This window comes from Homo sapiens, chromosome 9, assembly GCF_000001405.40.
Source record: "Homo sapiens chromosome 9, GRCh38.p14 Primary Assembly".
NCBI lineage: Eukaryota > Metazoa > Chordata > Mammalia > Primates > Hominidae > Homo > Homo sapiens.
The window spans coordinates 5,960,024-5,979,491 of NC_000009.12; the positions used below are offsets into that span (position 1 = coordinate 5,960,024).

The window sequence follows — 19,468 nt, forward strand, 5'->3', positions numbered from 1 at the left end:
TCCAATTCCCATTATTCTTCAAAGTCCTTCATCCCTTGTAAAACCTTCCCAGACTAGCACAGCACATTGATTTTTTCTCTACTTGACCTTTTATTGTGTTGTCTTTATCTGTACTTAACTATTATTCACTTGAGGTCACTGACCACTTTTTAACTTAGTTTTTTCACCTATAAGAGAATAAGACCACTTGTCTTATTCATTTTAGTCAGTTTAGAGGTGCTACCATAAAGTGATTTGGGTGAAAATAATAACTACTGGCCGGGCGTGCTGCCTCACGCCTGTAATCCCAGCACTTTGGGAGGCCGAGGTGGGCCGATCACCTGAGGTCAGGAGTTCGAGACCAGCCTGGCCAACATGGTGAAATCTCATCTCTACTAAAAATACAAAAATTAGCCGGACATGGTGGCACATGCCTGTAGTCCCAGCTACTTGGGAGGCTGAGGCAGGAGAATTGCTTGAACCCAGGAGGTGGAGGTTGCAGTGAGCAGAGAATGCGCCAATGCACTCCAGCCTGGGCAACAAGAGTGAGACTCTGTCTCAAAAAAAAAAAAAAAGAAAAGAAAAGACAATAATGACTATTTGAGGGGGGAAAACTTTCCAAACAGAACTGGTTGAAAGTATCTTAAAACACCATAAGCTTTTTGTAACTGTTAATGCGTCTGTAATCTTTTTTGTGTTTTTTCAGATTTTATAAAAAGTCCCCTAATTTTTAGAATTTCTAATTCATTTTCGCCAACTCTACTTGCTCTACACAATCTATAATAGTATATTATTGAAAACAACCAAAATGTCCAATAAGGAGACTGGTTAAATTAACTGCAAAATACAACAGGATCCTACACAGCCATTTAAAATGATGCTACAGGGACCTATTTATTGCCCAAAGATGTTCATGGTATACTGATACGCAGGGGAAAAAAAGCAGATTGTTAAAATGGTATGTATAGTATAATCCTATTCAAAAATACATAGTCTTTGAAAAAGTGTTGAAAGATACATATTAAGGAGTTAGTTTTAGTTACATCTAGGTGAACCATATTAAATGTGTTCATTTATTTGTTCAGTATATTCCCACACAATGCATCAATCAATCTGCTAAAGTGCCAGGGATGCAAAACCAGAAATAATCCTTCTGTCCCTAAGAATGTTATAGAATAGAGAGGAGACAATCCTCAAAATAACCTAGAAGTAAACGCAACTATAATAAGTATTACGAAGGAGAAGTGTCTGGTGCTATAAGCATGAACAGCAAGGAAAATTTTAACAAGTCACAAGATAATGGGAGGCTTCCTTAAGCAAGTGATAAAAGAATAAACATTTACTAGGTAATGAGGAAAGGGCTATTCTTTTTGCTTGTCTCTATATTCTTTAAAGAAAATGTACTGCTTTTATAATAAGAAAAAACAATGAAAGAAAACCAAATGATCTGAATTTTTTTTGCTCTGAGTTTTTTTTTACTCTTAAATAATTATTTTTAATTTATGCACAGCTAATCTTGCCTGTCTTGCTTAAATGACAAAGTTTTCAGAAACATTTAAATTTTGAAAACAGGTCATCAAGGAAAAATTTCTAATCGCCAGGACATATTTTTCTTTTCTATGATTGAATAAAAACATAGGATCAAGCATGAGATAATGGACATTATATTGTTTCCACTGTCTTCTATTTATTCTATAATGTTTCCAATAGTAAGGAACAGGCCTAAATGAGTAAAAATGAATTCAAAACTTAAAAAGGAGGAAAGAAACCCCAATTCTGAAAAGCAGATTAAAATGCTTAAATATTACCCAAACTGCCTCAAACTGTGCTAAAATTATCAAATCATTTTCAACCAAATTGTCTTTGTGCCTTCTACTAAAAATCACCTGCCGGTCTATCAATTTTGTTGATCCTTTCAAAAAACCAGCTCCTGGATTCATTGATTTTTTGAAGGGTTTTTTGTGTCTCTATTTCCTTCAGTTCTGTTCTGATTTTAGTTATTTCTTGCCTTCTGCTAGCTTTTGAATATGTTTGCTCTTGCTTTTCTAGTTCTTTTAATTGTGATGTTAGGGTGTCAATTTTGGATCTTTCCTGCTTTCTCTTGTGGGCATTTAGTGCTATAAATTTCCCTCTACACACTGCTTTGATAGACCGCTAGCAAGACTAATAAAGAAAAAACGAGAGAAGAATCAAATAGACACAATAAAAAATGATAAAGGGGATATCACCACCGATCCCACAGAAATACAAACTACCATCAGAGAATACTACAAACACCTCTACGCAAATAAACTAGAAAATCTAGAAGAAATGGATAAATTCCTCGACACATACACTCTCCCAAGACTAAACCAGGAAGAAGTTGAATCTCTGAATAGACCAATAACAGGAGCTGAAATTGTGGCAATAATCAATAGTTTACCAACCAAAAAGAGTCCAGGACCAGATGGATTCACAGCCGAATTCTACCAGAGGTACAAGGAAGAACTGGTACCATTCCTTCTGAAACTATTCCAATCAATAGAAAAAGAGGGAATCCTCCCTAACTCATTTTATGAGGCCATCATCATTCTGATACCAAAGCTGGGCAGAGACACAACCAAAAAAGAGAATTTTAGACCAATATCCTTGATGAACATTGATGCAAAAATCCTGAATAAAATACTGGCAAAACGAATCCAGCAGCACATCAAAAAGCTTATCCACCATGATCAAGTGGGCTTCATCCCTGGGATGCAAGGCTGGTTCAATATACGCAAATCAATAAATGTAATCCAGCATATAAACAGAGCCAAAGACAAAAACCACATGATTATCTCAATAGATGCAGAAAAAGCCTTTGACAAAATTCAACAACCCTTCATGCTAAAAACTCTCAAGAAATTAGGTATTGATGGGACGTATTTCAAAATAATAAGAGCTATCTATGACAAACCCACAGCCAATATCATACTGAATGGGCAACAACTGGAAGCATTCCCTTTGAAAACTGGCACAAGACAGGGATGCCCTCTCTCACCACTCCTATTCAACATAGTGTTGGAAGTTCTGGCCAGGGCAATTAGGCAAGAGAAGGAAATAAAGGGTATCCAATTAGGAAAAGAGGAAGTCAAATTGTCCCTGTTTGCAGATGACATGATTCTATATCTAGAAAACCCCATTGTCTCAGCCCAAAATCTCCTTAAGCTGATAAGCAACTTCAGCAAAGTCTCAGGATACAAAATCAATGTACAAAAATCACAAGCATTCTTATACACCAACAACAAACAGAGAGCCAAATCATGAGTGAACTCCCATTCACAATTGCTTCAAAGAGAATAAAATACCTAGGAATCCAACTTACAAGGGATGTGAAGGACCTCTTCAAGGAGAACTACAAACCACTGCTCAAGGAAATAAAAGAGGATACAAACAAATGGAAGAACATTTCATGCTCATGGGTAGGAAGAATCAATATCGTGAAAATGGCCATACTGCCCAAGGTAATTTACAGATTCAATGCCATCCCCATCAAGCTACCAATGACTTTCTTCACAGAATTGGAAAAAACTACTTTAAAGTTCATATGGAACCAAAAAAGAGCCTGCATCACCAAGTCAATCCTAAGCCAAAAGAACAAAGCTGGAGGCATCACGCTACCTGACTTCAAACTGTATACAAGGCTACAGTAACCAAAACAGCATGGTACTGGTACCAAAACAGAGATATAGATCCATGGAACAGAACAGAGCCCTCAGAAATAATGCCGCATACCTACAACTATATGATCTTTGACAAACCTGAGAAAAACAAGCAATGGGGAAAGGATTCCCCATTTAATAAATGGTGCTGGGAAAACTGGCTAGCCATATGTAGGAAGCTGAAACTGGATCCCTTCCTTACACCTTATACAAAAATCAATTCAAGATGGATTAAAGATTTAAACGTTAGACCTAAAACCATAAAAACCCTAGAAGAAAACCTAGGCATGACCATTCAGGACATAGGCATGGGCAAGGACTTCATGTCCAAAACACCAAAAGCAATGGCAACAAAAGCCACAATTGACAAATGGGATCTAATTCAACTAAAGAGCTTCTGCACAGCAAAAGAAACTACCATCAGAGTGAACAGGCAACCCACAAAATGGGAGAAAATTTTCGCAACCTACTCATCTGACAAAGGGCTAATATCCAGAATCTACAATGAACTCAAACAAATTTACAAGAAAAAAACAAACAACCCCATCAAAAAGTGGGCGAAGGACATGAACAGACACTTCTCAAAAGAAGACATTTATGCAGCCAAAAAACACATGAAAAAATGCTCACCATCACTGGCCATCAGAGAAATGCAAATCAAAACCACAATGAGATACCATCTCACACCATTTAGAATGGCAATCATTCAAAAGTCAGGAAACAACAGGTGCTGGAGAGGATGTGGAGAAATAGGAACACTTTTACACTGTTGGTGGGACTGTAAACTAGTTCATCCATTGTGGAAGTCAGTGTGGCGATTCCTCAGGGATCTAGAACTAGAAATACCATTTGACCCAGCCATCCCATTACTGGGTATATACCCAAATGACTATAAATCATGCTGCTATAAAGACACATGCACACGTATGTTTATTGCGGCATTATTCACAATAGCAAAGACTTGGAACCAACCCAAATGTCCAACAATGATAGACTGGATTAAGGAAATGTGGCACATATACACCATGGAATACTATGCAGCCATAAAAAATGATGAGTTCATGTCCTTTGTAGGGACATGGATGAAATTGGAAATCATCATTCTCAGTAAACTATCGCAAGAACAAAAAACCAAACACCGCATATTCTCACTCATAGGTGGGAATTGAACAATGAGATCACATGGACACAGGAAGGGGAATATCACACTCTGGGGACTGTGGTGGGGTGGGGGGAGGGGGGAGGGAGAGCATTGGGAGATATACCTAATGCTAGATGACAAGTTCGTGGGTGCAGCGCACCAGCATGGCACATGTATACATATGTAACTAACCTGCACAATGTGCACATGTACCCTAAAACTTAAAGTATAATAAAAAAAAAAAAAAAAAGAAAAAAAAATCACCTGCCAACACAATAAGAAGGCTTACTAAATTTGGAGATACTACCAAAAATTAAAGCCTGTATTACACAACATAAAACAGACCAGATTAACCACATGTAGAACTTAGTCCACCCTAAGTGAAGGTTCATACATCAGTCATGAATGACACAGCTCATCCCAAAGCGTATTCTACAGAATACACAGGTTATCGGTAATCATTACTCGAAAAAAAGCTGTGTTAAAATAAATTCAAAAAAAAAACACTACGTTAAACAAAATTAAGCAGTTTTCTTTTCTTCAAGACTTTCCAGAGTCTTTAATAAACAGGCCCAGAATAACTTAACAATTTAGAAGTTCAGAAGATTTTGAAAACTCAAAGTCTCAAATATAATTTATATGGTAAGAAAACCTGACTTCAACTTAAGGTTTTCTAGTCTTTGTTTTATTTAGTCTAATTCATACATTTTTCAGTAGAGATTATATGTTTGATTACAGGAGTAATTCCCACTGGGGATATTACTTAACCTAAGCCCCACTGGGGATGACTTAAACATTATATACACCATAATGCCCTTCTGAAATCTGAAGATTTCTGAATTTCAAAACAAATCTATTATCAGTTTTGCAAAATGAATTGTGAACCTCTACTAAAGGACAATGTGAATCTTTAAGAGGAGTATTTTCCAAACCTATGATGATGGAGCTCACTTTTAAAAAGAGTGAGAAAGTAAAGACTGGATTAAGGTATGCCCCGAACTGACTATGAAAGGCCACAACGTCTCACACCTAATAAAGAAGAACAGGGTAAAGCCTCAGATAGACAAGTGGACTGAAAATTACATAAAACAAATGTTTAGCTGTTATTATAACAGTTTATGTAACATTGTTATATCAATAAGGAATTCAGTAACTGATGAAAAAAGGGAATTGGCCAATGTTTACCCAGTATTAACTAGGTAAGCAGACAAAACTGCATCTACCAGATCCAAACATTTTTGTCACTTAAGATCTGACTTCCTAAAATTTGCTCTGAGAATAAAATAAGTATACAAACAAGTGTATTCTTTTCTTCTATTTCATGCATGTAAGTCTTCTCTCCTCAACTAAGGCTTAGAGTACTTGCTGAATACAATTTATAAATTTGCCTTCCAAGTGTTTCTATTCATTTTTCTAGAACTGGATACAAAACTCCTCCTCCCAATTTTCTCTCTGATCTACAGCAGTGTCTATTTTATAAACCACTTTATTGCCTTTGAGCATATGAACAGAAGTGTAATAAACAATAAAGGGTTCTGGGTTACAATTATATTAATAATATACTATATAATTGAGTTGGGAAGTAGTTCTAATTTTAAAATATTATTTAATATTTTAGAGACTAACATTTCCTTTTTTTTTTTTTTTTTTTTTTGAGACAGAGTCTTGCTCTGTTGACCAGGCTGGGGTGCAGTGGCATGATCTCTGCTCACTGTAACCTCTGCCTCCCGGGTTGAAGCAATTCTCCTGCCTTAGCCTCCCGAGTAGCTGGGACTATAGGCGCATGCCACCATGCCCAGCTAATTTTTGTATTTCTATTAGAGACAGGGTTTCACCATATTGGCCAGGCTGGTCTCCAACTCCCGACCTCATGATCTGCCCCCCTCGGCCTCCCAAAATGCTGGGATTACAGGTGTAAGCCACCGTGCCCAGCCTAGAGACTAACATTTCAAAGTGAATTTGCCAAATTCATCAAACTGAATTTATAAAAAACAAATGGATCGCTTATAAAATTTACAAGGCTTATTTCTAAAAGTAACTTTTAAACATTGTGGTTTTTCACCACCTGGATCAATGTGGAGCATTTTGAAATTTTCAGTCCATTAAATTAAGCCTGTTTTTGGTAATATATTTTATACTACTTTATCAATGATACATTATATACATGTTTTAAAACACATTCAATTGTATTTAATGATTTAAATAACTAAAACATAACACCAATTAGCTAAAAGATTCATTCCCTTATTTTCCAATTCATTACCAAATTTTTGCCAAATCTTACTTTTGCTACTGAAGAAAGAAATAAAAAGCTGAAATCCACAAACAATGATGATGAAGAGCCACCAGATTTTAATGTTAATTCCACCTTTTTTTTTTCCAATCAAGCAACTTCTTATTAGGGTTAATAAAGCTGATCATCTGCTTTTATCTCACTTATGTGCTTGATAAATGAGACATAAACTGATTTAAAAGACAGACAACAAGAAAAGCAAAAGCACCTAAGAAATTCAAAAGCAGAGCAATCGGCCACTGAAGACTTCATAGAATTTTCTGTTGTTTAAATAGGCTGTTGACAAATATATAGGGCATTTAAATTTGGTGAAAGACAAATTTACAAATCCTTTTACAGAAATATGCTTCATGTCTTATTAATTGATGTAATTTTCTTATATTCCACATATTTTCTTGATATAAAAATATATACTGAAAACATAGTTCTGAAAAATACATGATGTGGGAAAAAACAGACCCAGGAAGATAATCTGACTACCCTTGGTTTAAGCAGCTAGTTGCTATGAACTTTAGTCCTGGGAATGTTACTTCCTGAAATCAGTGCTTTTCCTACTACACTGTACTGCCCTTAGCCTGAAAAAAAAAAAAAAAAACACACATTTCATAAGCGATGGGAAAGAAATTGGTCCAGAGAAAGGTAAAAACATAATGTCCAAACATGTTCAACTGAAAATTAAATTCAAACATACTGCATCAGTACTTTTTTTGTTGTAAGTATATAAAATGTCATCTGCTCTGGCTTTTTAACACATTGAATATAAAATAAAATTTGACCCTCAAATATACACGCATGCATACATGTGCATTTTACTCTCTCAATCAAAGCATCCATGATGCATAATGGAAAAAACAATTTGAATTATACTTAAATATAACTCCCATCCATTTGTGTTAGCTTACCAGATTTGTGCTTCTTGTGTTTTGCTTTTTTTTTGATGATCAATAACTTATTCTGGATCTCAGGTTTGTAAGACTTGAATGCAAGAGAATGAAGACCTTCACGCTTTCTCTGTAAGTTTTCATTCAAAACATCTTTCAATTTCTTTTTTTTCTTTTTCTTCTTTTTTGCCCTCATTTTAGTTAGTTTGAGTTTCTTGTGGCTCTGTAGTGACTGCTCTAATAGAATATCCCTTACAACTTTGTGGCAGTTAATTTCTGGATGATCACTGTGACTTCCATTTACATGTATTTGGCAAGATTTTAGAGTATTTTCTTTTAATGGACTGGGTTCAATCTTTATTCTGGAAGCTTCACCGTATTTTTCCTGATTTTCTATAAACCTTATTTCACCTGGACTAAGAGGCTCTCCAAAGCCAGTAACTTCCCCTGGACTCCTTGGTTTCTCTAAATTTTCTTTACAACAATCAGTTTTTTTAATTTCACAAGGCCTGCGAATTCTAATTTCATAGTTGGATTTTACTCCCATTTCAACAGAGATGTCATGATTATCCAAGATCATTTTAGCAGGACAGCAAGCTGGATCAAAATTATTTTCCTGCTCTTTCTTGAAGGAAGAGGGCAGGCTATCTCTGCTACATCTATGTTCTCCATTACTTGTACTAACATAGTCACACTTCAATTTCTCCAATTTAATCCGAGGTACTCTTTGTATTTTAATGGGTGGAATTGGAAATTCTGGGGCCTGAAAGGGTCTCTGTTTATAAATCCGTACATCTGCACCACAGAACTGTGGAAAATGTACATAAGCATTCTCCAAATAATCATAACCAAGAATAACTTCCCTGCATTCATGGATAGGCTGTCCAAGTACAGCATCTTGAACTTCCTTTTGTGTTTCATACACAAAGTCACAAAGACCCTTAAGTAGCCACACTTTTTGGTAAAAAGGTAGTTCGTGAAAAGGTTTTTCTTCCAATGGATTAACTTCTCCAAGAACTTTAAAAAACTGAGGACACAACCCCAGTTTTTCAGCACAGTTATCAGGATTTTCAGTTTGCCCTACAGCAGTGTACCACTGTTGTACTTTCTGCCTCAGCGCTGCTTCCCAGGTCCTATAAGGCAAAGTAGGTCTTCGATGTAAGGTAGGTCTGCGATGGGGAGGACTTAATAGAGAAGTCATTATTTTCGATAGAAAAGCATTACACTGAGGCATCAGAAGACAACGTTCCAATTCGTAAAAGACTATTTCTGGCAAATTTAGAATTTGCTGAGCTAAACAAAGGAAATGCCCAATAGCTGGAATTTCCCACATGGTCTCCATACAAGTTGGAGCTGCTTGAGCTAGAAGTTTTCTTTCCCATTCTTCTATTTCCTTTTGACTAGCTTCTTCTGCTTCTTTTCTTTCCTGCTCCCGAAGCCTAAAGAAATTTAACAAATTATACTATTATTATTCAGAGGGTACCATAAAATGATAAATTTTAAGTATATTTATCTTTAGCCAAAAAGGCAATCAACTGTCCTAGTTTTATTTATTTATTTATTTGAGACAGAGTCTCGCTCTGTCCCCCAGGCTGTAGTGCAGTGATGCAATCTCAGCTCACTGCAACCTCTGCCTCGCGGGTTCAAGCAATTCTCCTGCCTCAGCCTCCCAAGTAGCAGGGATTACAGGTGCCTGCCACCACACCCAGCTAACATTTTGTATTTTTTAGTAGAGACGGGGTTTCACCATGTTGGCCAGGCTGGTCTCAAACTCCTGACCTCAGGTGATCCGCCTGCCTCGGCCTCCCAAAGTGTTGAGATTACAGGCATGAGCTACTGTGCCCAGCCTGCCCTAGTTTTAAATATCAGTACAAAGTGTCTCATAACAGTACCATTTTGCTTTTTTCAGATGAAGAAATACACATATCACTTCAGTCTGAATTTGATGGAGGATTGCTGACATAATTATCCTCAAGGTAAATTCTTCAATTTATAATGTATATCAACTTCATTTACTAAATGAAAGCACAGTAGAATTTGATTACAGTAATTTCTAGAAGTAATATGACTTCACATAAAAGCTGTAAGATATTTATATCCTCTGACCCCATAATTCCATTCCTAGAAAGTTATACTAAGAAAATAATTCAACAGAAGCAAAAAGTTATGTACTTACCAATGTTAACTCGAGTTTTATATAAGAAAAACAAAACTATGAAAAAATTGTTTTAAAATTGGGAAATAAACTGGAAATATTGTGCAGCCTTAAAAATTAAAATTATTAATATCATGCATAAATACAGAAAATGTCAGAATACAACACAGTACTTAATAGTCATAATGAAAATAAGTATATATTAAGCAGGGAGGTGACAGTGTTGCAAAAGTAAATAATTTCTAGGTTAATAGGAATATGAGTGCTTTTTTCCCCCTTAAGATTTTATTAGCACTACTATAAAAACTTAATTAAAAAAATGAAATTAGATGCAAAGATAGGCATTTAAGTCTTTGTGACCTTAGATTAGGCAATGGTTTCTTAGATCTGACACCCAAAAAATAAGCAACAAGAGAAAAATAGATAAACTGGGTATCATCAAAACTAGAAAAATTTCTGCTTTTAAAAGACATCATCAAGAAAGTAAAGACAACTCACAGGATGGGAGGATGTTTTTGTAAATTATGTACTTAATAGGAGACTTGTATATAGAATATATAATAGATACTTACAACTCAATAATGAAAGGACAAATAGCCCAGTTAAAAAATGGACAGGCTGGGTACAGTGGCTCACGCCTGTAATCCCAGCATTTTGGGAGGCTGAGGCGAGTGGATCATCTGAGGTCAGGAATTTTGAGACCAGCCAGGCCAACGTGGTAAAACCCCTTCTCTTTTAAAAACACAAAAATTAGCTGGGCATGGTGGCACATGCCTATAATCCCAGCTACTAGGGAGGCTGAGGCAGGAGAATCGCTTGAATCTGGGAGGCAGCGGTTACAGTGAGCCGAGATTGCACCATTGTACTCCAGCCTGGGCAACAAGAGCTAAGCAACGTCTCAAAAAAAAAAAAAAAAAAAAAAAAAAAGGAGAAAGAAACTTGAACTTGAATAGATATTTCTTTAAAGATGTGAACAACAAAATGAACAACAAAAGCACATGAAAAGATGCTCAGCCTCATTATCAATTAGATAAATGCAAATCAAAACCAGAATGAGATACTACTCCAAAACTACTTGGATGGTTATTACACAAAAGACAGATAGTAGTAACAAGTATTGGTGAAAACGTGAAGAAACTAGAAACCTCATACACTGTAGGCAGTATAATTGCTTTTGAAAACGTTACTATGTGATCTAGCAATTCTACTCCTAGGTATATGCCCAAGAGAAATAAAAACACTTGTCCACACGACAGCTTGTATATAAATGTTCTTAGCAGTATTATTTACAAGAGCCAAAAATGGGAACAAATCAATGTCTGACACTGGCTATTTTTCTATAAATCAGATTGCAATCCAGTAAGATAAATACATAAATAGTAAGAACACTACTTTGGCAAATATCACAACTTGCTCTTTTATAGAACAGCCTACTTTTATATTTTTGGTTGAAATGTCATACTATAACTGTCATTAGTGATTTGGTATTTATATATTACATTTGAGTACCTAAAAAATATTAAATATTCTTAATAAAATTCAACTTCTTTCAAATGTGCTTAGAGTTTTATGGAGTTTTATTTTTTACTGAATGAGGATGGTAGTGGGCAGGTAGAATTTGGCTTCCTCTGTACAGAGCTAGGACTCCAAAAGCACACACACTCAGTAGAGGGGCATACTAGAAAAAAGTCCCTTCCCTTCCCCTCATCCTCAACTAGAGGACTGCAAGAAAATTTTTTTGTCTTCACAATAGGAGTGGTGAGAGGAAAAAAAAATCTTAAGAATTTGTAACTATAAGCTGACTCATATGGATTTATTGCCCAAATTCACATTTCCTGAGTGCCCAGAAAAACATCACACTAAGAAATGAGTTTAATGTGGTTTCATGCCAATATTGCTGTCAGGTACATGAACAACAACAACAAAATCAAATCTCTAAGGGAATGCACCTTAAGTCTAGACTTTAAGGAACTCCTACTACTACAGTGATAAGAAATGAGTCCACAGTCAAAGATAAAACATAAAAGGAATTAAGATATTAGGAGGGATAGGAAGAAAGAATCTGGCCCCAAGATAATAGATGTAAGAATTATAGGACACAAGGAATACAATGTTAAGTGAAAAGAAACTGAAAACATGAGCAAAGAGAAGGAGATTATAAAAAATGACAAAGCAGTTTTGAATACGAATTAAAAAGAACTTCTAGAAATGAAAAATACAGAAAATAAAATAAAAACAGACTTACAGCTAACTCCTTGATATAGTTTGGATATCTGCACCCTCCAATTCTCATGGTGAAATTTGATTTCCAATGCTGAAAGCGCAGCCCAGTTACAGGTGTTTGAGTTATGGGGGTAGATCTCTCATGAATAGCTTGGTCCCATTCTCACTGCAGTGAGTGAGTTCTCACTCTACTGGTTGTCACAAGAACTAATTGTTAAAATGGGCCTGGCACCTTCCTCCTCTCTCTTGTTACCTTTCTCACCACGTGATATGTTGGCTCCCCTTCACCTTTTGCTAGGAGTAGAAGCAGTCTGAGGCATTCTCCTGATGCAGATGCTGGCCCCATGCTTCCTGTACAACCTACAGAACCATGAGCCAAATAACCCTCTTTTCTTTATAAATTACTCAGCCTCAGGTATTCCTTCACAGCAATGCAAAATGGACTAAGACACTCTTCAACAGCAATAACAGAAGCCAGCACACAATGGAGTATCTTTAATATACTCAGAAAATAAGTGCCAACAGAAATTTCCATTCAGAGTAAAAATCTCTCTCAAAAATATAGACAAAAAGATATTTTCAGACCAAAAAAATGTGGTATTTGTGACTGAAAAACACAATCTAAAGGAAAATTCTAAAGAATGTGCTTCCAGTGGAAGAACAGTGATCCCTAACTAAAGCACAAAGATAGGGGAAAAAAAAGTAGTAATACATAGGTTAATTTACATAGATATGGCATAAATAATTATTAAAATGCTCTACGGAGTTTAAAAAGAAGACAAGATAGAATTCAAATACATGACAACAACAGTTGGGCCCTGTGGCTCGTGCCTGTAATCTCAGCACTTTGGGAGGCCAAGGCAGGCAGATCATTTGAAGTCAGAAGTTTGAGACCAGCCTGGCCAACAAGGTGAAACCCTGTCTCTACTAGAAATACAAAAATCAGCTGGGCGTAGTGGTACACGCCTGCAATCTCAGCTATTTAGGAGGCTGAGGCAGGAGAATCGCTTGAACCTGGGAGGCAGAGGCTGCAGTGAGCTGAGATCACACCACTGCACTCCAGCCTGGGTGACAGAGTGAGACTCCATCTCAAAAAATAATACTAATACTAACATAAAATAAAATACATAACAGTAATAGCAAATAAGCTGGGAGAAAAATGATTAAACTGAAAAGGAAGAGACAGACCAAAGAAACACAAATCAATATCTAACATACAACAAATTGATTGGGCTGGGTGTGGTGGCTCACACCTGTAATCCCAGCATTTTGGGAGGCCGAGGTGGGAGGATAGCTTAAGCCCAGGACTTCAAGATCAGACTAGGCAACATGGCGAGATTTCATCTCTTAAAAAAAACGGGCCTGGTGTGGTGGCACAGGCCTGTGGTCCCAGCTATTCAGGAGGGCGAGGTGGGAAGATCACTTGAGCCCAGGAGGTCAAGGTTGCAGTGAGCTGTGTTCATGCCATGGCACTCTAGCCTGGGCAACAGAGCAAGACCCTGTCTCAAAAAAACCAAAACAAAACAAAAGCAAGAGACAAAAAACAAATTGTAGCTTCAGAAAGTAAGAATAGAGAGGTAGGAAGGTAATGGTGATGGTGATAGTTGAAGACATAATGGCTGAGAATTTTCCAGAACTAATGGGCACAAATCTTCATTTCAGGAAGCCCCCAAAAATAAATGAAGAACGTAAGCCACATTTGGGCACATGATAAAACAATAATAAAACATCAAAGACATACACAAAAAAAATCTTAAAAGATGCAGAAAAAAGGACAGATTACGTATACAGGAATGACAGACTGAGAGATCTATTAATAGCAACAAAATAAACCAGAAACAACAGAACAGTATCTTTAAAGTGCTGAATTAATATAACTGTCAAACTAGAACTGCATAACCAGCTAAACTATCATTCATAGATGAGAGTAAGTTAAAGTCATTTTCAATTAGACTAAAATGAAAACTTCCATGTAGTGTCTTCTGCTTCCAACCAAAATGAAGTAACAAAGAATCAAATTTATACTTTCATTTGAACCAACAACAAAAAAATCCTAATACATGAAATAATGGTTTTCAAGCAAAAGACAGCGATCCATGACACATTAGAAAGAGATGAGGTGAGCCCAAACATTGTTTCAGTTTATTGCCTTGAAAGAGTATCCAGATCATGATGCAGACAGACAGAGAGTACCCAGCTAAGGCCCAGCAGACTCCCTTATTGAGAAGGAGCCAAGAGTCCAGAGAGACCAAGGCAACTAGAGTCTGCAGGACATAGTACCTGCACAGTACCAATGAGTAGAGAGCTGCATAAAGAGAGAACTCTACAGATGTGCAGAGGATCTCCCTGGAGTATTAAGAGTACTGATTAGTACAGGGACAAACTTACAAGATATTAGAGAACATAGTGCCTGTTCCCACTAACCATGCTAGAAAACTAGACTCATAATTCACGGAATATTGGGTAGAATACTCAGGAAGGTCTTACCTTGGTAGTAGAGAATAATTAGACCTGGACTAGCGCTCAGGATCCAAGTAAAAAATCATAAAAGAGTCAGAATAATAAAGCTGTTTCCAACTAACTTAACTGCATTCCAGGAAAAAGCTCAAGATTTATAGAGATCCAAAAATATCCAGCGCTCACCAAGGTAAAATTTACAATGTTTGGCATTCAAACCAAGGCTACTAGGCATGCAACAATGCAGAAAAATGACCCATGATGAGAAAAATCAATCAAAACTGACCCAGAAATGATACACATATTAGAACTAGCAATAAGGGCTGGGCGTGGTGGCTCGTGCCTGTAATCCCAGCACTTTGGGAGGCTGAGGTGGGTGGATCACTTGACGTCAGGAGTTCAAAACCAACCTGACCAACATGGTGAAACTCTGTCTCTACTAAAAAAAAATACAAAATTAGCTGGGCGTGGTGGTGCATGCCTGTAATCCCAACTACTTGGGAGGCTGAAGCAGAAGAATCGCTTGAACCTGGGAAGTGGAGGTTGCAGTGAGCCAGGATCGCACCACTGCACTCCAGCATGGGCAACAAGAGTGAAACTCCATCTCAAAAAAAAAAAAAAAAAAAAAAAAAAGATTTAGCAATAAGGTCATTAAAGTAGTTATTGAAACTATATTATTCCATTTGGTCAAAAACTTAAGTAGAGACATGAGAGATATAAAGAAGACCCAAACTACACTTTTGGAGATAAAAACTACAATGTCTGAGATGAAAATACACAGAATGCGATTTATGACAGATTAGACACGGCAGAAGAAAAGATTAGTGAACTTGAAGACAGAGAGAGAAACTGTCCAAACTGAAATATACAGAAAACATACTTCTATAGTATATACTTAGAAGAGAAGAGATGATTACCAAAAGAAGTTCTAAAATGTGAGAAGAACTGGGAAAAAATACACTTAATCATGGGTAAATATGAATAAAAAATACATTATAAAAACAGTAATAATGGTTAGTTTGGGGGTTAAAAATGAGACAGAGCTAAATTATTAATCAACAATAATATATGAGATGGACGAGGCAGAAAAGAACAAAATTAAGAAGAGGAACAGAGCTTCCCTATCAGTGGAAGTAGGTGTAAAAGAATTCCACAGATAAATAGCAACAGATAATGCCAAATGGAAAAATCAAGAAATAGCAACATAGCATTTATTTAGAAATGTGAACATGATTACCAGAAGAAATAGCTAAAAGTTAAAGGTAGCTGATTCTGAGTCATGGGCTTGAAGTTCAGCTGGGTAAGACTGCTGCCTTTTAGTAGCCTTAAAGATACTCTGTGACTTTTAAACTAGAGAGTGTGTAAAATAAAATAAGTCTGAAATCAATTTTTCAAAGCTAAAAAAAAATCAAATGATTTAATCACGTTTATGTTAAATTTATAGATACTGTGTACTTTACCATGAAACTGAATTTCTCTACACTTTATGTACTGAGAAGGGTAGAATATTTTTCTTCAATGTACTGTTATTAACAACAGGCAAAGTTTTCAAGTTATTTCCCATAAAATTTAATTCAGAGTTTGTTTAAAAGTTTGTAATAGGATACTGTATCTTAGAATCAACCGTCAGAAACTGGGTTTGTTTATTACTATTCTTGGCAGAGAAAACTGATTTTGGTTAATCTTGTCATAATTAATCCTGACTATGAGCTCACTATAAAATCACTTATTAGTTATAAAACATCTCAGACTGTAAGTCTAGAAATTCTCCCTTTTTGGTTATACATATAAGTAAAATATAATGTTGTTTATGGCAGATTTCTATTTTCAAAATTAAATGTGACACTTTGTTTTTTTCCAAAGGAAATAAGATAAAGGAACTAGGAAGCGCCAAATAGTAGAATAGATGTGAAGAGTCAACACTAAGTAGGGAAAGGACAGCAAAAAAAAAAAAAAAATCTGGGAATCCTGAAGGCAGTGCATACATGACTAACATCAATGAAATACATTTTGTTCTGACAGAGAAGAGTGTTACATGTTCTGCAGAAGTGAAAGAGTGACAGCTAGTGCTTGGGGAAGAAAATGAAAGGGAAAGTTGGAGTAGATGAAAAAACTTTTATGGACTTGCTTTGCCTAAAGCAGTGAAAAGCAACTTTTGGCCAATATAAAGATTGGTGATAAGGTAATTTCACAAATTATTTACCTGCTGCGAATATTAAGGACATACAGAAAGGTGAAATAACTTCCCCCAGGTTTTCCTAGCAGGTCAGTATAAGAGACAGAAACACAGTTTGCCTGGTAGGCCAAAGTTAGCACCAACTGACTTGCTCCTAGAAGAGGAAGAAAATTCATGACACAGTTGAAGTGTGATAATGCCATCTGTGTGCACTATCTGAAGCTAATCAAGGGCTGCTACTCACACTGCTGCTGTTCCTCATACACTGTACCTTTCAGGGGAGGATTATGGAATCTAGCCTCAGACTATGAATACTAAAGAGATGTGAGGAAGGACAAAAAAGTACATGGCTGGTATAGGCCAGCATAAGGCAGAACAGCCCTTTACCTTTAGAAATACAACTATGGAGTCTCTTTCCTGATCCTCAGTAGTGTAGTAAATAGGGAATGGGAGCCTGCTGAAGATCTCTAGAGTTAATATATATAATCAGCCATTTTTAAAAAAACTTTAACACTTATAGTTAAAAATTAAAAACAGTATCTTAAAAATGCTGAAGTGGCTGGGCGCAGTGGCTCACGCCTGTAATCCCAGCACTTTGAGAGGCTGAGGTGGGCAGATCACGAGGTCAGGAGATCGAGACCACGGTGAAATCCCGTCTCTACTAAAAATACAAAAAATTAGCTGGGCGTGGTGGCAAGCGCCTGTAGTCCCAGCTACTCGGGAGGCTGAGGCACGAGAATGGTGTGAACCCAGGAGGCAGAGCTTGCAGTGAACCAAGATCACGTCACTGCACTCCAGCCTGGGCAACAGAGCGAGACTCCGTCTCAAAAAAGAAAAAAAAATGCTGAAGTACATCACATTTTGCTGGTAAGGCAGACAAAGCCATCTTCCAGAATTATTCTCATTTAAAAAATTTATCCAAAAGTACAGTACTAAAGGCAGATAAAGCAGTGCATGTTTCTAAAATACTAGCTCAAAAAATTAAGCCTTCAATGTTGGGAAAATACCAAAAGGCTGCCTAAGGATATTTGCAAAAATAACATTTGCTATTTTTAAAAACAGGGTACATAAACAATACTGAATAAACAAGAAAATTGGTTCAATTTTTTTTTCTGGATCAGCTCTCATTTTTGATGTTGCTCCTTACTGGGCTGTGGCATGTTTGCCTGTTACTCTGTGAAATACTAATAGAAGCTGTGCCTAAGGTTATTTTAGCCATGCACGATTTGGCAAAAACACTAGATTTCCAAAAGAAAATTAAGTTTTAAAGTATCCTAACTTTACTATTATAGTTTTATAAACTTTTATTGAATGCTTACCATGTGTGACAACACAAAGAGGTGAGAAAACATGGACCTCACTCTCAAAGACATTGCAATTTAGTAAAAAAAAAAAAAAAAAAGGAGTTTTAAGAAATAATAAAATGTACACAAATTGATGGCATGAAAAAGGGAAGCAAGATATTTATTTATATTTTCTAAGATGAATAACACATAATATTATATTTTAGAAAAATTAACCATTCATATCAAGTCCATCAGTCAACCTTCTTATTTATCTGACAACAACAGAATCTCCTCTGGCTAGCTGAAGCAGAAAAGGAATTTATTTAAGGATTAGTAGGGAGCTTATAGAAGCTCTGTCAAGAGTCAGAGAGCCAAACTTAGATGACAAAAAGCCAGAAAACAAGCCCAACCACACTTAGAAGGTTCTCCAAGAAAAACTACACGGTCAGCACTAGTTGGCACCTTTGATACCAAGAACCTGGAACAACCAGAAACTCCTACTACCACCTTTATCAAAAAATAAACCCTCTCACTCAAGATTGCTACCTGATGTTGTTCATGCAATATCAAGTAAGAAGTATATACCTGCTCATATACCTCTACCTTACCTGTGAGGGGGTTTGAGAATATAAATTTTCTGGCATCTATCCTGGGAAGTTAAAACTTGTACTATAGGAAATTACCAAAATGTAAGAAAGCTATTTAAAAATGCTGGGTGGCCACAAATGATGAATACATATTTAATTAAGTCACTGCTACTTTGTGTTATAGAGAATATGAAAATAAATCACTTAATTATAAAGTCATAGTATTTATTTTACAAAAATAATCACTGGAGTTTAAAAATCTGTTTCAATTCCAGTGATTTCCAGATCAGTAAAATACCAGCAAGTTTGTAAAAGTACATGAAATAAAGAGTACTAACAAAATACACACTGGCTGGGCATGGTGGCTCATGCCTGTAATCCCAACAATTTGGAAGGCCAAGGTGGGAGGATGGCTTGAGCCCAGGAGTTCGAGACCAGCCTGGGAAATATAGTGAGACCTCGTCTTTACGAAAAATGTAAAAATTTGCCAAGTGTGGTGGTCATGCCTGTAATCCCAGCTACTTGGGAGGCTGAGGTGGGAGGATAACTTGAGCCTGGGAGGTGGAGTCTGCAGTGAGTCGTGATCACATCATGCCAGCCTGGGAGACAG

At 36.5% G+C, this 19,468-nt stretch overlaps 1 protein-coding gene across 14 annotated transcripts in view; it reads right to left on the bottom strand.

The window, feature by feature from the left end:
- Positions 1–19,468, bottom strand: part of BRD10 (bromodomain containing 10) — a 129,649-nt gene that overhangs the window by 81,190 nt on the left and 28,991 nt on the right. For all 14 annotated transcript variants that reach the window (XR_007061251.1, XR_007061249.1, XR_007061250.1 and 11 more), the window contains exon 3: positions 7,996–9,413. Coding sequence is in view for 7 of the 14 variants with exons in the window: in XM_011517760.4 (XP_011516062.1) it covers positions 7,996–9,413 (1,418 nt within the window). In the remaining 7 variants the exon portion in view is untranslated. The remainder of the gene's footprint in view (positions 1–7,995; positions 9,414–19,468) is intronic.